Source organism: Homo sapiens, chromosome 14 (assembly GCF_000001405.40).
Source record: "Homo sapiens chromosome 14, GRCh38.p14 Primary Assembly".
NCBI lineage: Eukaryota > Metazoa > Chordata > Mammalia > Primates > Hominidae > Homo > Homo sapiens.
The window spans coordinates 31501984-31529302 of NC_000014.9; the positions used below are offsets into that span (position 1 = coordinate 31501984).

The 27319-nt window shown below is 40.1% G+C and overlaps 1 long non-coding RNA gene across 3 annotated transcripts in view; it reads left to right on the plus strand.

Moving 5' to 3' along the window:
• LOC105370438 (uncharacterized) overlaps window positions 1–27319 on the plus strand; it is a 68133-nt gene that overhangs the window by 12020 nt on the left and 28794 nt on the right. For 2 of the 3 annotated variants that reach the window (XR_943722.3, XR_943723.3), the window contains exon 2: window positions 24069–24193. This is a non-coding gene — a long non-coding RNA (uncharacterized LOC105370438). Of the gene's footprint in view, window positions 1–1389; window positions 1530–12517; window positions 12684–24068; window positions 24194–27319 lie in introns of those variants that run through there. The other variant, XR_943724.3, reaches the window with a different exon arrangement.

Genomic DNA, 27319 nt, shown 5'->3' on the forward strand with positions numbered 1-27319 from the left:
GTGAAGGCGTGAAGGGCTGGGGTATATACACATCAGCTCCTGTCAGTTACTGTTTGAGGAAGCTCCCAGTGGGTAATTTCTTGGTACTTCCTCTGCCACACACATGAGCCTAGTGGGATCTTGTGGCCAGAGAAACTTTTGGGCAAAGAAAAAAAAAAGGTAGATTCCAGCAGATGAAGGAAGTCTGGCCAGCAAGGACTGAGATGGTAAAGGCAACCAGTCATGAATGGGCATCAAAAAGGATGTGTTGCATCTGTTTGAAGGCTATTATGTTAATATTAGTACAGACAAGGGAAGAGGTAGCTTGGAAGACAGTTGTGAAAGGATTTAACAGGTGCATAAATGCTACTTTTGGGAACATTACTTTTATATTCTCCATTTTGTTAACCATGCTTGTAAGAGTGCTACATTTTTGTTCCTCTTTTAAAGTAAAGTGCAAGCCCAAGATATTCCAAGTAGATAGGAATAAAGTCTGATACTGTTACTCCTGACTCAGGTGAAAAGTGAAGGCAGTGTTGTCCAATAGAAATACTGTGTGAGCCACATGAAAAATTCTTTAGAAGCTACATGTAAAAAGCAGATAGAATTAATTTTAATAGTACATATTTTTTTACTGCTATAATCAAATATATCAAAATATTACCATTTCAGCATGTAATCATACAAAAAATATTGATGAGGTATTTTACGTCCTTCTTGGTGCTAAGGCTTTAAAATCTGATGTGTATTTTACACTTAGAGTATACATCAGTTTCAGTAAGTCACACTCAAGTGCCCAATAGCCACCATAGAGTGCAGGTCTAAGGGATGGTTTGTTTAAGAGATGTATTCTTATTTCACAGTGTATTATAAATAGCCGCTACCTAGTAGAAGGAAAATAGTTTGCATTTAAGTATTGAATGTTAAAGCTAAAATGGAAGAAGCAATATTAGTATAGTTTTGACTTTCTAAAGAGGAGTTTCCTAATCATGGTATTTACTTTGACACTGCCAAATCAAGTGGAAGATATAATTTGTAAGCTTAGTGTGGGTTTCTCCTAGTGACAACTAGATGACTAGAATGACAACTTTCTTAACAAACTGTTTTGACCTTAAATAACGAGTGGCCAGGTGCAGTGGCTCACACTTATAATCCCAGCACTTTGGAAGGCTGAGGCATGAGGATTGCTTGAACCTAAGAGTTTGAGACCAGCCTGAGCAACATAGTGAGACCCTATCTCTAAACAAAACAAACCAAAACAAGCAAACAAACAAAAAAACAAAATTAGTAGGCCGTCTTCCTGAAAATAAGCATTTCTTACTGTTTGCCAGTTGGACAGGAAGTATTCTTTAAGTTTTTGACATCAGAATCAGCCTTTTTTATGGCTCACTTCACATTCATGTCTTTCAGGCAGTATCCCAGTGTTATCTCTTCCTTTCCTTATTTCAAAACACAATTGGCAGAAGGAATGCAGAGCTCCTTGTCATATGAATCGCATGTCCCTTTCTTTCTCCGTCTTCATGATGGAAGTGAGAAATTTCTATGGCTAGGTAAGTGAAATAACTTAAGACAATATAATACAATGGTCTTTGAGATTATGATTTAATTATCAAGGGTCCAGAGCTATTCAGATGAATGAGATCAAATATTTAAAAATACTCCTATACTTAACAAAAATTTCATCCTCTAAGATATCTTTATGACAGCCACGGTCAAATGTGGCTCATTTATGTTTTTCTCCTAATTTGGGCATAGGGACAGCATAAAAACTAAGGCAACTCAGGCCGACTGTGGCTTAACCAAGGTAAGGAGTCTTTATGGCCATACCCAATTTAGGCATAAAATGTTCACTACTGGCTACCAGAATCTCATTTTTATGAGACCTTTAAGGAGTGTGGGGTGGGTTTCCTTATTTTATAAATAAAGCATTCTTCTGAGGAAGTCTAGTCACTGCTTCAAGATTGACTAAGAAAGTAACCTAGCAAAGTACAAAATAGCTTTGGAGCTTTGGCTTCAGAAATACTTGGATTTAAATCTTGGCTTTACTATTTTTATAAGATATGGCCTCAGTCCTACTAGATTCCGTGTTTCAGATATTCCCTATTTATCATAAAGAGATTTTTAAAAAGTGCTTGACTCACTAGATATTTTGCTGTGGTATATAAATCTAAATATGTATGTATATTTCTATAAAAATGGGCCGACTCTATGTATTCTGTTTGGTAACCTTTTCCATTTAATATGTTTTAAATGTTTTCTGGCCTGGCACAGTGGCTCATGCCTGTGATCCCAGCACTTTGGGAAGCCAAGGCGGCAGGATTGGTTGAGCCCAGGAGTTCGAGACCAGCCTGGGCAATTTATCGAGAACACATCTCTACAAAAATTTAAAAAATTAGCCAGTCATGGTGGCATGCATTGGTGGTCCCAGCTACTTGGGAGGCTAAAGTGGGATGATTGCTTGAACCCAGTAGGTCAAGGCTGCAGTGCGCTATGATTGCATCACTGCACTCCAGCCTGGGCAAGACCCTGTCTCAAAAAAAAAATTGTTTTAAATGTTCTCCATATCAGTAAACTAATATGTTAACAAACACACATCTGTATTATCTTTTTTTTTTTTTTTTTTTTGAGACAGGGTTTTGTTCTGTGGCTCAGGCTGTAGTGCAGTGGCATGATCATGGTTCACTGCAGCCTCAACCTCCTGGCTCAAGTGAACTTCCCACCTCAGCCTCCCGAGTAGCTGGGACCATAGGCATGTGCCACCATGCCTGGCTAATTCTTTGGTATTTTTTTCATAGAGATGGGGTTTCGCCATGTTGCCCAGTCTGGCCTCAAACTCCTGAGCTTAAACAATCTGCCTACCTCAGCTTCCTGAAATGCTGGGATTAAAAGCATGAGCCACCACACCCAGCCTGTATTGTCATTTTAATGGTTGCCTAATATTCCATTGCAAGTTATTCTGGGGATTAAAGAGACAAAACATATGAATATAACTGGCATCTAGTAATTGTTAAAACTATAAAGAGAAATGGTGCTGAAATTCATATTTCATAGAGTCAACCTGCTGGTTGACCTTTTCACACCTATCTTTGCTAGCCAGCCATTATCTTGCATGCAGGCAGTCTCCTCCTGCCTTAAAGCAAGACCTCCAAGACCTCTGCAGGAATTGCTTCATACATCAGGACCAGGAATCCTGTGTCTCAGTCACTGTAGGCACCAGAAAGAAGATGGCTCAGGGACCTGGATAGAAGATGTAGGTCACAAAGATTTTCTCTCATGGCAAATAATAGAATATTGCAGCTCCTTAGAGAAATAAAAGATATACTGCCCTGTTTCAAGATCTAGGCCATACCAAAGGAAAGAAAAACTTTTGAGAGATGGTTTTTCAGAACAGAGAGTTAACTTCTGTCTCTGTGAAGTCTTTCATTTCTAGCACCCTGGAGGTGTTTGTTCCCTTCCTTTTGGAATAAAACTCAGCTAATGACCTCTCACTTTAGTGAGATTATCAGAACTTGCAGAACATTCCAGATTCCTATTTGAAAATATGTGTTCCTCTTACTACATTCCTAGCCTTAAAATATCCTCTTTAACATTCCAAGAATTATTTTTGTAGATGATCTTGGCTGCAGTTCAAAATACTGTAGTGTTTGCTAGGCTAGTTCATAGTCCCTCTCTGAATACCATTTTACAGAAGTGTTCTCAGCTAGTCTGTGATACAGGCTATCTCCGGAGCTCAGCTTGCATGATCCCTCTGGTCATATGGGACAGGGTGTAAGAGAGGAATGTTGAGGTCTATTAGCCATTCTTCCTTTTTACTACATCTCCTGGGAAGCTATAGGTGCCAGTGAAAATAGAGTCTGCGGGGAAGGATAGCTGCATATTAGGCATCTTATGATGCTGTCCCAGGAGCTTCTCCAACTAAGCCAATTGATGTCTCAATTTCTCAACAGAAGTAGCTGTAGATAGTGAAAGAAAGAGAGCATCAGTCTTATGGCCAATGAATGCTGTTGAAGTCCTGCTATGTGCCAAATACTGTGCTGCCATTGTAAATAGAAAAATAAACCAGGCAGTAGTGATTCAGCTATTGTGGAGCTTCTTAATTAATAGAAAAACCAGTAGGTATGAGGCAAATAATGACAACTGTGTTTAGTGATAGAAACAAAGAGGAGATTGACCTAGACTAGGGAGTCAGGGAGATTTTCTTAAGGAAGTGACTCTGAGCTGAGACTTGAATTTAGGTGGGTAACAAAGATGGGGGACTGGTACTTCCAGCAAAGGAAGCACCTTGTGAGAAGGCCCCAGGTATGTTTGAGAACTGGGAGAAGTTCAGCACAGCTAGGGGCAGAGAGCTAGGGAAAGGAATGAGGCAAGAGATGTGCATAGGACCAAATCATCTAGAGCTTTATAGTCATATTAATTCCTTTGCATTTTATTTTAAGGGTGATGGGAAGGGGGAAGACAACATATGTATTAATTTTTTAGGGCTGCCAAAATGCCATGGACTGGTTGGCTTAAACAACAGAAATTTATTTTCCCACAGTTCTGGAGGCTGGAAGTCCAATATCAAGATGTTGCAGGCTTGGTTTCTTTGGAGGTCTCTCTCCTTAGCTTGCAGATGGCCTCCCTCTTACTGCCTCTTTATATGGTCTTTTCTCTGTGTGTGTGAGCCCCTCACGTCTCTTTCTTCTTCTTATAAGGATTTCTTCTTAGAAGGACACCGCTCAGATTGGATTGAGATCCCTCCATGATCTCATTTTAACTTAGTCACCTCTTTAAAGGCCTTGTCTCTAAATACAGTCATATTCTGAGATACTGGGCTTTAACATACAAATTTTATGGAAACATAATTCAGCCATAACACCATACATGTGGCAGTAGTATAGAGAATTAATTGGAGAGGGGCAATTATGCAGACCCATAGGAGTCTTGTGAGAGATGATAGCTACCCCATCAGGGTGTGTGCCATGAGGAAAGAGCAAAGGCAGAGTTTGAGAAACATTTCCATGGAGGACTGATGGCATATGGCAGTGACGTAGAGGGAGGAGCCAAAGATGCCTCCTAAATTTTTGGTTTTTGCATCTGGTTAGTGGTGTGGTTTGTTTAAAGAACAATGGAGAAAGAGAAACAATGGTTTTGGGGGGAAGATGATGGTTTTATTTCTGCTGATGTTGAGTGGTTGATGAGTAGGTTGTTTACTGGAGGAGAAATCAGCCTCTGCAACACACAGAGCTGGGATCATACGGCTCAGCCTCTATAACAGACAAAGTTGCTTGTCGCCTAGCCCTTACGTTTTACTTTTCATGGAAAAAAAACGTGTAGCCCTTTTCAAAAACATGCTCTTGATATCCTTAGAAATTCAAAATTTGTTAAACTAGGGTTCCAAGTTAACACTTTTATAGTTAACGTTGTGGAAGATTTAACATTTTTTCATAGTCAGCTTGACTTGTGACTATTATAATGTGCCTAAAGAAATTGCCTGTTACTGGGTAGGGAACAAGATGACTGAGGTACAAGGTTGGAAAGACAGACTACCCGTTTTGAATTTTTTTCTTTTTTCTTTTTTTTCTTTTGAGACAGAGTTTTGCTCTTGTTGCCCAGGCTGGAGTACAATGGCGTGATCTTGGCTCACTGCAACCTCCACCTCCTGGGTTCAAGCAATTCCCCTGCCTCAGCCTCCTGAGTAGCTGGGATTACAGGCGCCTGCCACCACGCCCGGCTAATTTTTGTATTTTTAGTAGAAATGGGGTTTTACCACGTTGGTCAGGCTGGTCTCGAACTCCTGACTTAAGGTGATCTGCCCACCCTGGCCTCCCAAATTGCTTGGGTTACAGGCATGAGCCACCTCGCCCGGCTTGAATGTTTTATCAGGTGTAAGTATAACCTGATTTAAAAAATAAATACTACAATTAAAAAAAATTTTATAATATTTATTTTATTCTCATGATTTTAAAATTTAAATTTTCAGAGCCTGTGGTCAAACATTAGCCACTGATAAAATGGCAACAGGTAACAAATCATATAAGAATATGTTTTCATTGTTCTTACTCTTGATATTCTTAAATCGATATTACTCCTAACTAGTTTGATTTTTAAATACATCTACCTACTTGCTCAACACCAAAATAAGAGTTCAAAAAAAAAAAAGAAAAAGAAAAAGAAATTGCCTGTTATCCTTACCCTGTTTGTGAGGATAAAACCACTCTTTTATTTCCTTTTCTGCATGCTAAGTCTTAGTAAAGAATGCGATCTTGCTCTAAAAACGAAGTCTGTAAAACTCTGACGTATGTGGTAAAAAAGGAGTCTTTCTATAGCAGCAGAGTCCCAGGGAGTAGAGTTGTGTGGGAGTTGGTGGCCCTCTCAGTGAGAGTGAGACTGTCAATGATAGATGGGGAGCAGAAAAGCAGGGTCAGGAAGCAGAATGTGCTGTAGCCCAAGTGCTGGGTCATGGTCAGTGGTGTTCTTGTGTGCCCTGGGATACTTGGAGGCAGGCTGCAGCTAGGTCAGAGGTGGGTCAGGAAAGAGCTGAGTTATTTCTGGAAAAGACCGAAGTTTTCCTTGAGTCCCCTGCCCCACGTTGCCTCAAAGGTCAAGGAGGTGATGCTACCTTGCTAAGAAGTAGCTGTAAGGCAGCCTGGGTGACAAGGCAAAATCCTGTCTCTACAAAAGATAAAAAAAATTACCTGGGCTTGGTGGTGCACACCTCTAGACCCAGATACTTGAGAGGCTGAGGTGGGAGGTTGAGGCTGCAGTGAGCCGAGATTACACTACTGCACTGCAGCCTGGGCAACAGAGTGAGACTCTGTCTCAAAAAAAAAAAAAAAAAAAAAAAAAGTAGCCATAAGGAGAGGAGTTAGAATGACTAGCTGTCCTGGTTTGTCTGGATCTGGGGCTGAGGGGTTCCTGGAATATGGGGCTTTTGGTTTTAAAACTGGGTTTCGCCATGTTGGCCAGGCTGGCTCGAACTCCTGACCTCAGGTGATCCACCCACTTCGGCGTCCTAAAGTGCTGGGATTACAGGCGTGAGCCACTGTGCCCGGCCTGAAATTTATTTCTAATTAAACAAGTTTTCCATAATATTTTATGAGCAAGAAAATAAAAATTGAAAGTGGAACATTACATAAGAGCAAACAGCCAATGAAAATTAAATGGAGGGTGGAGGGGGGAAGCATTGTCCAATTAGGGAAACTTTTTTTTTTCTTTATTTTAAAAATAAAGACACACACCTATGAAGGAAACATATTTTTTTTCCTTTTTTTTTTTGAGACAGGGTCTCACTCTGTCACCTAGGCTGCAGTGCAGTGGCTCGATCTTGGCTCATTGTAACCTCTAACTCCTGGATTTAAGTGATTCTCATGCCTCAGCAACATGGTGAGACCTTATCTCTACAAAAAATGCAAAAATTAGCCGCCGTGGTGGCGTGCATCTGTGGTTCAAACTACTTGGGAGACTGAGGTGGGGGGATCACTTGAGCCCCAGAGGTGGAGGTTGCAGTGAGCCCAGACCACGCTACTGCAACCTAGCGTGGGTGACAAAGCAAGACTGTCTCAAAAAAAAAAAGTAATGCACACATTGGAATAATATGCAATCCTTTTTTAAAAGGTAGCAGATTGATTGTTCTGATATGTGAAAATGCCCAACACACACTTAAATGTTTTTTGTTGTTGTTTTAGTTTTTTTTGAAACGGACTTTCGCTATGTTGCTTAGGCTGGAGTGCAGTGGCACAATCTCAGCTCACTGCAACCCTCACCTCCCGGGTTAAGGAATTCTCCTGCCTCAGCTTCCCAAGTAGCTGGGATTACAGGTACCCGCCACCACACCCGGCTAATTTTTGCATTTTTAGTAGAGATGGGTTTTCACCATGTTGGCCAGGCTGGTCTTGAACTCCTGACCTCAAGTGATCCACCCGCCTCAGCCTTTCAAAGTTCTGGGATTACAGGTGTGAGCCGCTGTGCCTGGCCTCAGGTGAACATTTTTTAAAAATTAAAAATATTTAGTGATACACGTTACTAAAATGTCTCAGGTAATTTGGTATGAAAATCATATTTTATTTATTTTTCTTTTTTTCCAGATCCCATAAGACTAATGAAAACCACATTTTTCTAAACAGGAAATTAACTATGCAGCATGTATTTAAACAATTATTAGGATAAAATATAAGTATTATTCAGAGAATAAGTATAGAGAGTATTTGTGTGTGGTGTCTAAAGAAATTCTATCCCAAATAAATCACTTCTCAGATTATGAGACATAGGTTTGAATACATTCATATTTATTTACAATCTAATTGAATGTTCATCCCCACCTTTCACCCACATTGAATATCACCTTTACATAGTTTTTCCATTTTAATGATTATTATTGACCACTAGGGGGAGAAACAACAAAAGCTTTGAAATTTTTGATACATTTGAAAGATTATTTAAATGCCAGCTGTGACATGTACTAATTGTAGTGAAATATGGATTCACAGAAGGTGCTAGCATATATTCTTGGTTGTTGGAGATCTGTTGATTCTATGGGGTCCTTCAGAAATAATGTAACAGAAAGGTGATGTAACTTCTCCAAAGGGTGAGGAACAAGGTGTTCTATGGTTGACCAGCTAAATTAGTTTTGTTCAACTTGTGCCTTTGCCCAAAGAGTAAGTGTGAAAAATAAACCTGTCTAATTAGAATGAATGATGAAAGGATTAAATGCCTTGGACTTCAAAGATGGGAAAAGTGGCAGTAAAGGAAAAATATTAACATAATCAAAACAATTTCCCTATGCTTTGCCTTAAGTGCACTTGACAATTAATACTTAAAATTATGGGCCAGGTACAGTGGTTCATGCCTGTAATCCCAGTACTTTGGGAGGCCTAGGTGGGATGATCACTTGAGGCTGGGAGTTCAAGCCCAGCCTGGGCACATAGTGAGACACCATCTTAAAAAACAAAATTACGGTTAAACATATAGAACATATTTGTTAAAAAGTGACTGAAAATTCTAACCAGCTAAAGGTGTATTTATCTTAAACTACTCAATATGTGAGTACTTTGAACTCTGTTGCTTAGTTAGAAAATGTTTTTGAACTATTTTTTATTCAAGAAATTGCTGACTCTGTTAGTTATGAGAAAAATGTATAAAATATGTTAATTCCACAAATAAATGTTTAAAGTCTACTCAATGCTAGGTACTCAGGAGACCCAAAACTGGATTAGACATATATATTTTCCTGAAGAAGTTTGTAGACTAAAAAATCTATTCATAAAAACCTATAAAACAAGGTAGATGTGAGACATACCATTAGAGAAGAGGCACTTTATGTATTAAGAAGGAAAAAATTATTTCTCTTCTCTTCTCTTCTCTTCTCTTCTCTTCTCTTCTCTTCTCTTCTCTTCTCTTCTCTTCTCTTTCAGAAACAGGGCTTTGCTCTGTCGCCCAGGCTGGAGTGCAGTGGTGTGATCACAGTGCACTGCAACCTGGAACTCCTGGTCTCAAGCAATCCTCTTACCTCAGCCTTCAAAGTAGCTAGGACTACAGGTGTGTGCCACAATGCTTGGCTAATTAAAAAAATTTTTTTTTGTAGAGATGAGGTCTTGCTGTGTTGCTCGGGCTAGTCTTGATCTCCTGCGCTCAAGCAATCGTCCTGCCTCAGCTTCACACGGGGCTGGGATTACAGGCATGAGCCACCATGCCCGGCCTACTTCTATTTTGATGTGTCTATAGGAGGTCGGGGTAGGAGGTATGAAGACTGTAGGAATCAGAGAAGGTTTTGTGAAGAATGTTGCATTTGAGCAGGGTTTAAAGATATTAAGGATATAGAAATGTGGCAATTACAGGAAAAACATTTCAAGTTCAGGGAGCACAGTGAGCAAAGGCATGGAGGTAAAATGCAAAGATGTATAAACTTCACACCGGCATTAAACAGAGGAAAGACCTGGTGATTTAAAAAGATTTAAATCTAATCCAACATGTGACATAAATTTAGTTTCACCTGTGACTGTTTGTGATGGTTAATTTTATGTGTCTGGGCCACAGGGTACCCAGATATTTGGTCAAATTTTTTTTGGGCTATTTCTATGGAAAGTTTTTGGATAAGATTAACATACACACACACATTTATTTAGAGACAGAGTCCCATTCTGTCGCCCAGGTTGGAGTGCAGAGGCGCCATCACGGCTCACTCCAGCCTCTACATCCCGGGTTCAAGCCATCCTTCTGCGTAGCCCCCAGAGTAGCTGGGACTACAGGCTTGCACCACCACAACTGGCTAATTTTGGTATTTTTTGTAGAGACGGGTTTTTGCCATGTTGCCGAGGCTGGTCTCAAACTCCTGAGCTCAAGTGATCCACCCGCCTTAGCCTCCCAAAGTGCTGGGATTACAGGTATGAGCCACTGAACCTGGCCCAAGATCAACATTTATTTATTTATTTATTTTATTTTTTTTGAGACAGAGTCTCGCTCTTTTGCTGAGGCTGGAGTGCAGCGGCGTGATCTCAGCTCACTGCAACCTCTGCCTCCTGGGTTCAAGCGATTCTCCTGCCTCAGGCTCCCAAGTAGCTGGGATTACAGGCGTGTACCACCATGCCTGGCTAATTTTTGTGTTTTTAGTCGAGAGGAGGTTTCACCATGTTGGCCAGGCTGGTCTTGAATTCCTGGCCTGAAGTGATCCACCCACCTGGGCCTCCCAAAATGCTGGGATTACAGGCATGAGCCATGGTGCCCGACCCAAGATTGACATTTAAATCTATAGACTAAGTAAAGCAGATTGCCTTCCATAATGTGGGTGGGCCTATTCAGTTGAAAGCCTGAATAGACCAAAAAAAACGGACCCTCCTCCAAGTAAAAGAGAATTCTCCTGCTTGAGACCTTTGAACTAGGACATGGGCTTTTCCTGGTTCTCCAGCAACGTGCTCCTGTTTGGACTTAAACTGAGACATCAGCTTTGCAGATTTTAAATTTGCCAGCCTCCATAATCACTTGGGTGAATTCCCTGTAATAAATCTATCTATTGATCTACCAATCGATCCATTTATCTATCCATTCATGCATCCTATTGCTGCTGTTTCTTAATACTGTTTAAAAGAAAGCATCTAATAATCTACCAACAAATATTTATTAGGTGTCATTTTAATCCCAGTGCTCTGCTAAACAATGGAAAAAATACTAGAGTAGCATAAATCTATAGTGAATAAATCCCAGAACTACTTCAATGAATATATACTGATAAAACTAATTTATTTAAAATCAATGTTTACTTTATTAATTTATTATTAAAGAAAACAATTAAAACTGTAACTTGGAGGAAAGTGGAAAAATAAATTATAACCCCAACAGCCTAATACAACCACTGTTAGCATCTAGTGTATTTTCTTTCAGTAACTTTTCCCTTTGTGGTATTTGATGTATATAAAATATTAGTTTATGAAAAATCATGCTGTCAATTCTTTTCTTTAACATGATATCACAGGTCAGATACAGTGGCTCATGCCTGTAATCATAACACTTTGGGAGGCTGAGGTGGAAGGGATAGCTTGAGCCCAGGAGATGGAGTTCACAGTGAGCCAAGATCATGCCACTGCACTCCAGCCTGTCCAGCCTGGGTGACAGAGCGAGACTCTGTTCCAAAAAACAACAACAACAACAACCAACCAACCAACCAACCCAAACATTATATCATAAACATTTCCCCATTTGTTTCATAATCTTAAGAATTATAATTTTTAATGGCTGTACAATACATAGTCTGCAAACATATAATTTTTATAATCATTTCCTTATTTTTGGATATTTAGATTATGCAGATTTTTTCTTTTTCTTTTTTTCTTTTTTTTTTTTGAGACAGAGTTTCACCCTTTTCACCCAGGCTGGAATGCAATGGTGCGAACTCGGCTCACTGCAACCTCTGCCTCCCACGTTCAAGTGATTCTTCTGCCTCAATTCCCAAGTAGCTGGGATTACAGGCGCCCACCACCACGCCCAGCTAATTTTCGTATTTTCAGTAGAGATGGGGTTCCACCATATTGGCCAGGCTGGTCTCGAACTCCGTATCTCAGGTGATACACCCACCTCTGCCTCCCAAAGTGCTGGGATTACAGGCATGAGCCACCACGCCCAGCCGATTTTTTCTGTTTTTAAGATCATCAATATAAATATCTTTATTACAGTCTTCTCACAGTTTGAATTATTTAAGAACAAATTCCTAGAACTGGTATTATTAAATCACCAGGTATGAAGTCTATATAGTAAGTCTAAATTGTTTTTCACAAATATTATACCAATTTGTAAGGCCATTGACTTTGACCATACATTTGCCTACCTAGTATTCATTCTCACCTTCATTAATCAAAGACTTTTTTTTTTTTAAGTGGGAATGTGACTTGTTATAAAAGCCTCATTTCCTCAGACTCCCTTGCATCTAGGTACGTCCATATGACCGAGATGTGGTCTATGATGGTTACAGGGTTCCGCTATGAGACACACTTTTGTTTTATTACATAAAAGGAACATGCTCTGCTGGCACACACTTTTTCCTCTTTTCCGCTCTTCTTTCTGACTGCAGGTAGAGCAGCCTTCTTGCAACTTTGAGGATGAAAGCTACAAGTTAAAGTGGTGGAAAAGGAAGCCAGAAGGAGCTTGTGACTTTCTTGAACATCTGCACCAGCTCTGGTCTCCTTTCTCTGGAATTCTTGTTACATGAATAAATTAATATGTGTTTGGTTAAGCAACTGTAGTCATATTTCTGCTGCATGAAATCAAAGGAAAACCTAATAGTAACATATATGCATAGTTATTCTCCACAATAATGAATATTGTCACTACAATTAGTGGGGATGGGGCACTGAGTTGGTACTCTTGATTGCAAATAACAAAAAACCTAAGCTGGTTTAAAGAAAAAAGGGAATTCACTGGTCCATGTACTGGGGGAGGTAGAGGGGTTGAATTCAGGCTTCACGAAGTAGCATCAGTAACACTTTTAGGTCTGACCTCTTTCTCCCTTTCCCTTTTTCCTCTCTCTCCCTTTCACATATCTCCTTTGCTTTCCTCTGTGTGTTGATCTCTTCTCTCCTACAAAAAAATGGACTTCTTCCACGCAACTGGAGAAATTGACCATGTTGGTTGAATGTCAGGAGAAAGAAAGAACTTTACAGTTTTGATCATATCAGTCCTTGGGAAGGACTCTGATTGACCAGGCCTGTTTCACCCATTCTTGGATGTGTTCATCCAAGAAGGGACGGGGAATAGAACAACTGTGATTATCATCCCCACCAGGATCACTCAAATACAGAAGAGGCAAGTCCTCAAAGAGAAAGTGAGGTGTTGACACCATAACATAGCTGCTGAAAGGCTAAAACAACCCATCATCAATAACCATTTTTTACTAATAAAATGTTTCTTATTGTTATTTTAATTTACCTTTATTTTAAGTTGAAGACTTTTTTGTTTGTTAATTTAATTTAATTTAAAAAATTTGAAAATTCCCTCTCCTAACATTGACAACCAGAATATGCTTATACCTGACAAATTGGGTAGTTGAATAGTCTCTTTATTTTGAACATGATCCCAATTTTGGGCTTGTAATCTAATATTCTGTAACTGGAAATGCCATGCACAAGGGAGAGAAAATATATGTTCTTTATGATGTCTGTGTATGTATAATGTTCTAAAGGTCCTAAATTTAGTGCGAACAGTGGCAATGGTGTAAGACATAAATTTAATCTGTAGTTGTATTTGAGTCATGTAATATATTTAGTATAGAGAGATTAAAAATATAGTAGATTCCCTTTCTAGAAGTTAACTAAATTGATTTTAATATATTACTTTGTGAGGGCTGGGGGCAGTGGCTCATGCCTGTAATCCCAAGCACTTTGGGAGGCCAAAAGCGGGCAGATCACCTGAGGTCAGGAGTTCGAGACCAGCCTGGCCAACACAGCAAAACCCTGTTTCTACTAAAAATACAAAAATTAGCCAGGTGTGGTGGCGGGCGCCTGTAATCCCAGCTGCTCAGGAAGCTGAGGCAGGAGAATTACTTGAACTGGGAAGGTGGAAGTTGCAGTGAGTTGAGATCGTGTCATTGCACTCCAGCCTGGGCGACACAACGAGACTCTGTATCAAAAAAAAAAAAAAAAAAGAAAGAAAGAAAGAAAGAAAGAAAGAAAGAAAGAAAGAAAGAAAGAAATATATACTACTTTGGGAGAAAGTTTCTTTAAGTATTACACTGGTATATTGGCATTATTGATTTTTCCCAAAGACTTTGAATTATTCAAAATGAGATTCAAAATCCTATTTAGGATTTAAGCTTTAGACTAAGGCTTAAAAGTAAGACATATTGCTTTTTCCCCCCATCTAAAGTAGTCTAGAGGATCTTTTGGTAAATAATATGAATATTTTATTAAATATTTTAAAATTTACTAAATATTCATTCATTTGGTGCTCAGAGCCATTATTTCATATGTTGTTATGGTGCACATGGGATCTTATGATTTTGGAGAGCGGGACAGTGGCTGTTGATTCTTTCATTCTTTACTTCTAGCTTTGGTGTAAGGGTAGTTCTAGGGTATTGCATGAGGCAAATGGATGAGAAACCAAGTCATCATTATGCATAGCTTTGCCTACATCATTCCAACAAACTGAATTTAAATGCCCTTTGAAAGTGGGAAGATTGAGACCTAAAAATAAGTAAGGTATTGATCATACCATGTACCCTATATATTAAATCGGCTAGATTTCCCTTTTCTTTTCAGAAAAGGGGCAGGTGATGGAAGTAAATGACTATCTTTTCTCTGCCCTCATATCTTCTTCTGTGTCTGGCTGCTCCAGACCAGCTGCCACCTGCAGTTATACACCCTGATGTGCTACTGGTTGCTGAGAAAGAGGCTTTTAAAAAAAATCTCTTAGAGTATAAATAAAATAACAGGTCAAAAATGCCTGAGACATACTGGTCTGCTGATAAATATTAATTACACCTGGATTTACATAATAGACGCTTGTTCAGGGTAGTTTGCAAACTTGCCATTTAGGCAACTGCATTTTATATGGAGCCCAGAGGAAATGACATTTACCTTCCAATGGATACTTGGAGTCCTAAGTAGGGGCTATATGCAGCTGAAAACATCCTGATAGCCATGTGATTTCATGCTTCTGTACCTTGCTTATGTTTTTCTCACCTGCCTGGAATTCTGTATTTTGTTTTTTGGGACTTAGCATGAGTTTATATTCTCTTGGAAGTGCTTTCTGACCATTCTCATTTCGCCATGACCTAGGTGCACTTTGTTTATACTCTCAGAGCATCTTGTGCATAATCATATACTTGAGTTCTAATATAATTGATTTTCCTACCTGCCTATCCCAGTGTAATTTCAGGGCGGGCTGCAACCATGTTTTATTTATCTTTGAAACATTATGGCGTAACAAAATACTAGGATCAGTGGGTACTCAGTGTCTGTTGAAAGGAGGAAGCAGTTGAATTTTATCTATGGAGTCTTCTCATCTCCCTCCTTGTTTTCCTTCTCTTTTGTGGTACCCCACCCTGTCTTACCCCATCTCACGACTTTTGTGCCTTCGTTCATTCTCCTTCTGGCTTGCTGATGGCTTCTATTTCCTGCTCTTGTCTGAGCTTGGAAATAAGTTTATTTACATCATAAATTACAAACCACTAGAGTGAGAAAAGTGTTGATCATCCATTCAAAAGTGTTGAATCCTTCAATAATTAGCAGAGTACTTTTCACACATAGGGGTTGATATGGTTTGTCTGTGTCCCCACCCAAATCTCATTTTGAATTCCCACATGATGTGGGAGGGACCCAGTGGGAAGTAATTGAATCATGGGGGCAGGTCTTTCCCGTGCTGTTCTTGTGATAGTGAATAAGTCTCATGAGATCTGATGACTTTATAAGGCAGAGTTTCCCTGCACAAGCTCTCTCTTTGCCTGCTGCCATCCAGGTAAGTTGTCACTTGCTCCTCCTTGTCTTCTGCCATGATTGTGTGGCTTCCCTAGCCTTGTGGAACCGTAAGTCTAATAAACCCTTTTTCCTGTATACATTACCCAGTCTTGGGTATGTCTTTATCAGCAGCATGAAAATTAACTAATACAGGGGTTTATTTAGACTTTAAAATATGTTGCTTTTTTTTTTTTTTTGAGATGGAGTCTTGCTCTGTCACTCAGGCTGGAGTGCAGGGGGGCAATCTCTGCTCACTGCAACCTCTACCTCCTGGGTTCAAGCAGTTCTCCTGCCTCAGCCTCCCAAGTAGAGTAGCTGGGTCTACAGGCATGTGCCACCATGCCTGGCTAATTTTTGTATTTTTAGTAGAGATAGGGTTTTACCATGTTGGCCAGCCTTGTCTCAAACTCCTGACCTCAAATGATCTGCCTGCCTCAGCCTTCCAAAGTGTTGGGATTACAGGCATAAGCCACCATGCCTGGCAATATCTATCTAGTTTTCTATCTAGTTATAAAAGTAATACTTATTCACTGTAGAGAATTTTTAAAAATACAGAATGTCATCAATCATAAAAAATCACTTATCTATCACCTATAGATAACCATTACCAATATTTCAGTACATTGATACGTATACTCTTTTGTTCCCCCGCAGGCATAAGCCAACATGGGTGGCCAATGTATATACACTTTTATTTATTTTTCTCAGCACAAATACAATGATACATTGACACATATAACAGTTCTTTTCCATGCATATATACTCTTTTCCTTTTTGCAAAATTGGGATCATACTGTATAAAATCTTTTATCCTACTTTTTGTATTTAACATGTATCATGAGCTTTTTATCATTATGTAAGCATTCTTTTAAAATGTCATTTATGTAATGCGTTTCTTATTTATGGATATTTAGATCATTTCCAGTTTTTCCTTTTATAAAACATGTCTGTGATAAAAATTCTGTGCCTAAATGATTTCTTTAAGATAAATTCCTAGAATTATTTGACCACTCTGTGTGAATATTTTAAGGTCTTTTGATTCAATAGCCAAACCAACTTCCAGAAATATTATATCACTTTTCCATTCATCCACCCACTAGCAAATATATATGTATTTTTTTTTTGAGAAAAAAAAGCATATATTTTTTTGAGATGGAGTTTCACTCTTGTTGCCCAGGCTGGAGTGCAATGGTGAGATCTTGGCTCACTGCATGCAACCTTCATCTCCTGGGTTCAAGCGATTCTCCTGCCTCAGCCTCCTGAGTAACCGGGATTACAGGCGCCCTCCACCACACCTGGTTAATTTTTGTATTTTTAGTAGAGACGGGGTTTCACCGTTTTAACCAGGCTGGTCTTGAACTTCTGACCTCAGGTGATCCGCCTGCCTCAGCCTCCCAAAGTGCAGGGATTACAGGCATAAGCCACCGAACCTGGCCAGCAAATATTTTTGAATCCTTTACTATGTGTTTGGCTCTAGGAGCTAGGATTATAATGGATAATAATACACTCAAGGTCCTTGCTCTCAAAAGACTGACATTCTACTGAGGAAGACAGACAATAAACAAATAAGTGACAACATAAAAGAATAATAGATTGTTGTCGCTGCTCTGAAGGAAGCCCTAGTAGAGTAGGACTGTACTTTGGTTAAAGTGGTGAGAGAAGGCTTTTCTGACAGAGTTAATTTAATCCGAAATATGAACACTAGCCATGGAAGTGGAGAGGATCATCTGCTGCGAAGGGCAGAATGGCAAGAAATGAGGTCGAGAGGGCTATGACGCCAAAGGTCCAAATCATGGTCCTGTGTTAGGTGACAGGGAGCTATTGAATATACCAATCATGGCAATGTGTTTATAGGCATCAGGAGGTCCACGCTTAATCACTTTTGGTGAATGTCTGCATTTTAACAGACGTTTCTAGAAATACCCTCCTTAACTCTAAAGAATGCCCCCACTGGTGGAATTTTGGGCATCACAGTTGGTGGACATTTCACTGCCTCTTAGGTCACATTTTATATGGAGGTGGCCTGCATTTCCTACATTCGAGGGTTTCTTCTCAGGCTATGTCCTCTTCCATCAATGCCCACGAGTCTACACAGATATTTTGGACATATACAGCAACAATACAAGGATCAAGGCTCATTTTCTTGCCTTCTCAATTAAGGTTAATAAAACCTGCTTAGCCATGATTTTCTTGGATTGATTTTATATCTCCTTAGCAGTGGAATTATTTAAGATGAATTTTTAAATATTTAATCTAAATATGCTTGCCACATTTGCACTCTGTATTTCTAATATACATATACTATATTATATATATTATAATAATTATATTACTTAATATTACATATTATATGGAATTATATATTATATATAGAGATAATATATGTAGAGAAATATATACGGACAATGAAAATAATCTTTTGTATAAAGAATTAAGAAGAAATTAATTTCCAAAAACTTTGTAGTATTATCTGAGATACATATTGAGATTCAACAGCAGGAGCTGTTTCTGAATCTAAATTCTTGGCTTTGATTAGTTTGTGTTTATATTAGGAGTCAGGATCTGTATTAGCTTTCAGATTTATTTTTGAGTATTTTGTGCATTGATATTTTGCTGAACACATTCAGATTTATACATATTTAAACATGAAAAGCTTTTTATTTTGGTAGTATAGATTTTACTTATTTCTTTCCCATCAAAAAGAAAATGATCCTCTATTAGAATTCAGATTTTTTCAAGACCATTCTGAAATCAAACATGATTATGGTGAGGAAAGCATTCTTTCAATTCTTTGTCTAAAAAAGCATGTCTGTACCGTACTATTCTGATTGTTCTTTTGAAAAGACATATTATTATAAGCAATCAAAACAAAATTTGTCTTGTATAACATAAAAGGAAATCAACAAATATCTACTGAGTGTCTACAGTGTACCAGGACCTGAGTAGTCACTGTGAGGACAATTGAGAAGTGCAGTATGTGATCCCTGCCCTATAATTGCTGACAACCTAACAGGGGAGATGAAACACAGGGATGGGGGAGCCCTTGGACACTGACATCTATAGCGCACCTGCTGTGGCCTAGGAATTGTGCTAGGTACTTCCACATAACTTATCTCATGCATTGCTGAGCTCAACATCATCCCCTAAAGTCTTCAGTATTCTCCTTCCCACTCTATCCAGTCATCTAGGCTTCAGGTCATCCTTAGTCCTTGCCACCCTAACTTACCTCCCACATCCAATCAAGATGAATTTTCATTCCTGGATCCTTCCAGTGGTCCTTTGACTGGTCTCATTGCCTCTATTCTCTTCCCTTAGCAGCTCATCCTCCTTCCATATTGTGGACAAAGTGAACTGTCAAAAATAAAAATATGATTAGATTAATTACAATTCTTTTGGGGTGCAAACAACATAACTCATTTAAGCAAACGTGAGCATTTATTATTATGACTGCAGCAGTGATTCTTGGGGTCCCAAGAGTAGGTTGCAGTGGGGTTGGATGAACAGAATGGACTGAGACTGCAGTCCTTCCTTTCTAACTCTTGTCTTTGCTCTTCTTTAAATGTTTACTTTATTTCTTACTGCAGATCAACTTTTTCTTACTTCTGGTCTATGTGGCAGAAAATGACAGCCAGACTGAGCCTGGACTTGATCAGTCCCCATTCTAAATTCCTCAGGGGAAGGCGTCATTTGACGAGCTTGGGTCAGGTGTCACCCCTGGATCAATCGCCAATGGCAATCAATGGCAATCACAGTTACCTTGAAGGAAAAAACAACTGAAACGTTGTTATTGAAAGGGAGAAGGAGCAGTTCTCAGGAAATGCATTGCTAGGCAGACAAATCAGTAGGCATTTCTTGGAGAGGCTGAGCATTTGAGTTGACTGGAGTATGTGATTGAATTAGAGGGAAAAATAAATAAGGTTGCAGGGATGATAGTTTGGAACTAAATTTTCAAGAATCTTTATGTAAAGCTAAGAATGTGAAGTTCATAGATATTTGGAAGTTACTGCAGTTTTTAAAGAGAGTAACATGATGAAGCACTATTTAGGATAATCTGGAGGCAAAGTAAATAGATTAGAATTGAGAGACACTGGAGCAGAGCCCATCTAGGAAGAAATTACAAGAGTCAGATATAAGAGCACTGGAAAAACGAGTAAAAATATTAGGAAGGACAGGATTACTTGGACATAGGTAGGTTTTTTGTCTTGTTTTTTGTTTTGTTTTTGTTTTTTTTGAGACAGGGTCTTGACCTGTTGTCCATGCTGAAATGCAGTGGTATGATCATGGCTTGCTGCAACCTTAAAATCCTGGGCTCAAGTGATCCTCTTGCCTCAGCCTCCCCAGTAGGTGGGATTACAGGCACACACCACCACACCCGGCTAATTGTAAAAGTTTTCCTTTGTAGAGACAGGGTCTTGCTCTGTTGACCAGTCTGGCTTCAAACTCCTGGCCTCAAGTGATTCTTCTGCCTTGGCCTCCCGAAGTGCTCGAGTGGTGGGATTACAGGTGTGAACCACCACACCTGGCTGACTTCTGTTTTTTAATCTATGTGAAATTTTTGTGACTATCATACTGCTATGGGATACAACACAAAACAGACCATATGTTTCACAGTTCATAAGGCTGAAACCATGTAGTTCAAACAATGCTATCATGGTTGTTAGAATTTCTAATTTTCTTTCCTCTGGGAAATAACAGCCAGGGTTTTTTTTTTTTCCCTGTCTCCCACCATCCCCACCCCACCGTATCATATATTGGGAAGATATTATTAGAAATAGGAATGAAGCCACAAAATTCTGGGGACTGGTTAGGCAGAGGGCAGGGAGAATGACGAAACCATGACCGATTGTTTTCAATTCAAGAGTGGAGTTCCTGTAACAAGGATAAAGCTAATATCATTAACTGTGAGTATTGGTGAGTCATTTTTAAGGAAGATCTGTCAAGTTTTTATAGCAATTTCTGTGTAAAGTTTATTTTAACATTTATCACATTGCATTTTACTTATCTCTCCATGTGGCCACTCAGCATTGGGCTGTCAGCTTCTCTAGGGCAGACATTCTTGCTTATTAATTTTTATATCCATGGTGCTTGGCACAATGCTTGACTTGTTATAAGTGCCCAACAAATGCTGAATATCCCCCATTTGATTATAGGCTTTTGAAGGTAGGGTCTATGCTTCTCCATATAACTTCCAAAGCATGTTGAACAAAAATGCTTTGAATTGAACAAAAATTACTAATATATGAGTTCCCAACCTTTCCCCTGTCTTGATTCTTTTGGATTTTTATGCTAAGAATCAAGAGCAAAAAGAGTGTAAGAGAAAAACAAGAAGGCTACGTTTGGGTGAAGAGTTTTCTGGGGGCTTGTATAGAAGAAGTGAGGGACTACCGGGGATGTGTGAGGACAGTGGATGGGACAGCATAGAAAGGGATTTTAAGAAGTGTTGATGTGAACTGTGTGCTTTCTTCTTGGTGTTCGGACAACACAAGTAAAGGACTTGCTTTATTTTTGAACTCCTGTTTGTTCTTGGACTGTGTGCCTTTGATGATGCCATTCTGGGATAGAACTATAAGGGTCACAGGTACATGAGCTTTATATTTATTTAGTAAATATCTGTGAAAGGAAGGAGAAGAAAAGAGAGCTAAAGAGAGAAGACAATGAGGGCTGGATGAAGGAAGAAAGAAATGAAGGGAGTACATTAATGTCAGATATCATAGAGGAGATATGTGAATCTAAACCATATACTTCCATTTCCATTTAGAAACCAATATGGTTCATCTGAATTATTATTAATTTTCTCTGAAATTGGTGAGATTTCCAATTAGATATAAGGAGCTGGGTGAGTTTCAAGTGAGAATAAAAAGCACTGGGACAAGCTCATTTTGCATTAAGAAATTCAGCTGATCTTTTATTACAAATAAAATGAACACTGAATAGTAATTTTCATTAAAGAATGAAAGCATTTAACTACTTACAAATACTTCAATTATTAGTTTTCAAAATGTATTTTATAGTAGAGATCAATACTTTTTGTCCAAGGAAATTACCCGCTTAAAATCTAGTATTTTTATATAGAAACATCATTCCTGGGATAAATTAAAAACTATTTTTTTCTAAATAATATACATGGATGTTGAGACTAATGTGGTATGCTATATTGGAAATATCTTCACAAACTTTAAAATAGAACATAAAAAATATTCAAAGGGCAAACGAAATAAAATAAATTTCAGGAATGAATCTGTTTTTAAGGTCATGTATAACTACTATTATTACATAATATAATTCTGAATAAATAAATCGTGTGTGCATGAACAAGCTAGAAGCTTATTTTAAGGGTTTCTTGAGGCTTTCTCACATTTAAAAAAGTCAGGCTATTGATTATAGAATCATAGCATTTTAGAACAGAAAAGGGCCTTGGAGATGGCCTTGTTCAACCCTTTCATTTTACAGGTGACTAAAGTATGTTATTTGGGTAGCAGCAAACTAAAAAGTCTTCAACGATGGTTCTCTATTGCGGTAACAACCACTCTGGCCTAACTATTCCTTCACCAGATCACTGCAACTCAACTGCAGGAACACAGAAAGAACAAAAGCGACAACATCAAGCCTCCGGGTTTGCTGGAATTCATTAATGACATCCCTTCCTGCTGAGCTAACAAAACCTTGAACCAGCAAGCAGTTGTCTTCTTAAATTGAGCTTGCCAACTGTGTTATAATGGTGGATTTAGAGACACTAGGTGACTCCACTTGAGCAGTTGTGGTGGCCAGAGAAGAATTATTCTTATCCTCATGAAACGTAGCCCAAACAATCATTACCAGTTGGTTCTAGGGAACTGCTTTTAGTGAGACTATTGTTGTCAGTATTGTTGAGTTGGGGTAAAAAGAAATAAGGTTACAGGGATGATAGTTTGAGGCCAAATTTTCAAGAATCTTATGTGATGTTAAAGATTTTGAAGATTGTCCTAAAGACATTTGGGAGTTACTGCAGTTTTTTTAAAAGGGAGTGATATGATAAAACACTATTTAGGGTAATTCAACTGGAGATGAAGTAGACAGATTAGAATTGGGATACTCTGGGAGGATAGAAGGTACAACAGAACAAGCAGGTGTGCCCCACTGAATCATCTATACATTTAGAAAGGTAAGACATATGTTTATCTCATAAAACAAATGAGTGGGCCGGGTGCAGTGGCTCACACCTGTAATCCCAGCACTTTGGGAGGCAGAGGTGGGTGGATCACTGGAGGTTGGGAGTTCGAGACCACCCTGGTCAACATGGTGAAACCCCGTCTCTACTAAAAATACAAAAATTAGCTGGGCATGGTGGCAGACTCCTGTAATCCCAGCTACTCAGTAGGCTGAGGCAGGAGAATCGCTTGAACCCGGGAGACTGGGGTTGCAGTGAGCGGAAATCATGCCACTGCACTCCAGCCTGGGCGCCAGAATGAGACACTGTCTCAAAAAGCAAGCAAACAAAAACCAAATGAGTGAAGATAGTTCTATGAGCAAAGCAGCTTTTAAATACCTGCTAAAGTGTGATTTCCCTTGTGAATTTTCTTATGTCCCTGTATTAGTCAGTCCTCGCATTGCTATAAAGAAATGCCAGAGACTGGGTAATTTATAAGAAAAGACATTTAATTGGCTCATGGTTCTGCAGGCTGTAGAGGAAGCATAGTGGCATCTGCTTCTGGGGAGGCCTCAGGAAGCTTCTAATCACAGTAGAAGGCAAAGTGGAGCAGGTATGTCACATGGTGAAAGCAGGAACAAGGGAACAAGGTGGGAGATGCTACACACATTTAAACAACCACATCTCATGAGAACTCACTATCATGAGGACAGTATCAAGGAGGATGGTGCTAAACCATTCATGAGAAATCTGCTCCTATGATCCAATCACCCCCCACCAGGCCCCACTTTCAACACTGGAGATTACATTTCAATATGAAATTTGGATGGGCACACAAAAATAAGCTATATCAGCCCTCTTCCCGACTCCACCACTGTAATTAATCAAGCAATATTGCAATGATTAATTTACATGTCTCTCTAGTTTACCAGTAATAAGCTCTTTGAAGGTAGGCATAGTCTTATTCCTCTTTGTATATCTACCACCCCATAAATATTACATAGATTGTTTTGAATTGAATATATTGTTATTGTTTGGTCTTGTAGGTCCTCATCATCAATCTCTAAATGAAGTTACTTGAAGCAATTCTTGAAACCATAATAATAATGTCTCCAGAATTGGTGGATTCTTGGTCTCACTGACTTCAAGAATGAAGCCACGGACCCTCGCGGTGAGTGTTACAGTTCTTAAAAGCGGCGTGTCCGGAGTTTGTTCCTTCTGATGTTCGGACATGTTCAGAGTTTCTTCCTTCTGGTGGGTTCGCGGTCTCACTGGCTTCCGGAGTGAAGCTGCAGACCTTCTCCCTGAGTGTTACAACTCTTAAGGCGGTGGCACATCTGAAGTTGTTCATTCCTCCTGGGGGTTCGTGGTCTCGCTGGCCTCAGGAGTGAAGCTGCAGACCTTCACCATGAGTGTTACAACTCATAAAGGCGGGGAGGACCCAAAGAGTGAAGAGCAGCAAGATTTATTGCAAAGAGGGAAAGAACAAAGCTCCCACACTGTGAAAGAGGACCCGAATACATTCCCATTGCTGGCTCCAGCAGCCTGCTTTCATTCCCTTATCTGGCCCCACCCACATCCTGCTGAATGGTCCATTTTACAGAGAGCTGATTGTCTGTTTTACAGAGAGCTGATTGGTCTGTTTTGACAGGGTGCTGATTGGTGCATTTACAATCCCTGAGCTAGACACAAAAGTTCTCCAAGTCCCCACTAGATTAGCTAGACACAGAGCACTGATTGGTGCATTCACAAACCCTGAGCTAGACACAGGGTGCTGATTGGTGCATTTACAAACCTTGGGCTAGACACAGAGTACTGATTGGTGCGTTTACAATCCCTGAGGTAAACAGAAATGTTCGCCAAGTCCCCACCAGATTAGCCAGATACAGAGTGCTGATTGGTGCATTCACAAACCTTGAGCTAGACACAGAGTGCTGATTGGTGTATTTACAATCCCTTAGCTAGACATAAAGGTTCTCCAAGTCCCCACTACACTCAGGAGCCCAGCTGGCTTCACCTAGTGGATCCTGCCCTGGGGCCACAGGCGGAGCTGCCGGCCAGTATCGGCATGCACCCGCACTCCTCAGCCCTTGGGGGTTTGATGGGACGGGGCGCTGCAGTGCAGATGGTGGCGCCCATTGGGGAGGCTTGGGCCGCACAGGAGCCCATGGCGGGGAGCCGGGGGGAAGGCTCAGGCATGGCAGGCTGCAGGTCCCAAGCCCTGCCCCACAGGGAGGCAGCAAAGGTCCAGCGAGAATTCGAGTGCACCACGGGCGGGCCGGCACTGCTGGGGGACCCGGCGCACCCTCCAAGCTGCTGGCCCAGTTACTGAGCCCTTACTGCCGGAGGCTGGCGGCGCCGGCCGGCTGCTCCGAGTGCGGGGCCGCCGAGCCCACGCCCACCCGGAGCTCGCGCTGGCCCGCAAGCACCGCGTGCAGCCCCGGTTCCCGCCTGCGCCTCTCCCACCAAACCTCCACGCAAGCTGAGGGAGCCGGCTCAGGCTTTGGCCAGCACAGAAAGGGGCTCCCACAGTGCAGTGGCGGGCTGAAGGGCTCCTGAAGCGTGACCAGAGTGGGCGCTGACGCCGAGGAGGCGCCTAGAGCGAGCGAGGGCTGCCAGTACACTGTCACCTCTAAATAAGATAAACATTTGAAGAGTGCCTTTAATGTTCAAGGAATTGTGAAAGACACAAAGTTGAACATGACATGGTATCTGCTTTGGAGAGGCTCATAGCTAAAGAAGTGTATTGGTTTGCTAGGGCTGCTGTAACAAAATACCACAGACTGGGTGGCTTAAATGACCACACAGAAATTTATTTCCTCACAGTTCTGGAGGCTGGAAGTCCAAGACCAAGGTGCTAGCTGGATTGGTTTCTTCTAAGGGCTCTCTTCCTGGCTTGCAGGTGGCCACCTTCTCACTGTGTCCTCCTGTGGCCTTTCCTCCGTGCATATGCCTCCCCGTTATCTCCTTGTATGTCCAGATTTCCTCTTCTTATAAGAAGCAGTAAGATTGAATTAGGGCCCACCCTAAAGGGCCCACCCTAGTGGCCTCATTTTAACTTAATCACTTCTTCAAAGGCTCTATCTCCAATTGCAGTCACATCCTGAGTTTCTGGGGGTTAGGGCTTCAACATACGAATTTGCCGGGGGGACACAATTGAGCTTATAAAAGGAAGGAGACTATAATAAACAGTTTAATACCAATCAGCTTTGATGGGAGGCATCTGGGAAATAAATAGTTCAGAACAGTAAACTTTGCAGCAGAAACTGGAGATGAAAGTTTGAGACTTTAATGGAATTTAATAATCAATGCATTCTCTTGAAGTCATTTTACAAAAATCAATATAAATTTTCAAATACCTTATTTGGAAAGCCACTGTGTAACTGGGCCAGATGGTCTGACATGAACTATACTCATTTATAGTCTTTTAAGGTAAAATGTCCTCCATGGGTATACAGTGTAGTAGTTTACTGGCACTGATTTTGGAATTACATTGTTCCGGTTTGAGCCATGGTTCTGACAGGTCCTGGTCTCTGTCGTTTATCCTCAGGCAAATGGCTTATTCTCACTAAGTTTCTTTCCTTGTCTGTAAAATAGGGGTAATTCTAGTTCCTATTTCATAGGGTGGTTATGAGGATTACATTAACATATAGGCTTTGTACATAGTAAATGGTCAATAAATTGTAGCTCTGTTCACAGGCTGTTAGTGGCTTGAATTCCTCAGACAGATTCTTTATTAAACATAATTATTCTTTCTGCTCACCCCTGAGGCTTAACCCAGTTTTTCATGCAGTATTATTTATTTATTTATTATTTATTTATTTATTATTTATTTCTGTTGCCCAGGCTGGAGTGCAGTGGGGCCACTGTACTCACTGCAGCCTTGAATTCCTGAACTAAAGGGACCCTGTCCCCTCAGCCTCCTGAAATGCTGGGATTACAGGCATGAGCCACTGTGCGTGGCCTCCAGTGCTATTTTATTAATCTTAAGAGATGTATCCGTGACAGTTCTAACTTGAGAACCTTAGATAGAGATAGTATAACATAAATTCAAAGCATTACTATAGATTATGGTAAATTTTAATGGTTCTCATGAAAACAATAAGGATTTCTTTATCAATCTGAGAGAAATTCTGTTGGGAAGGTATTATAGCATTAACCACTCTGTACTGTACTGTGTATATGTTTGCCTCCTTGGTTAGACTGTGAATTCTTAGAGAAAAGAAAACATGCCATGTTTATCTTTGCACTGTGATGCAACGATGGTGTAGTGGTTAAGAGCATGGTCTTTGGAGCC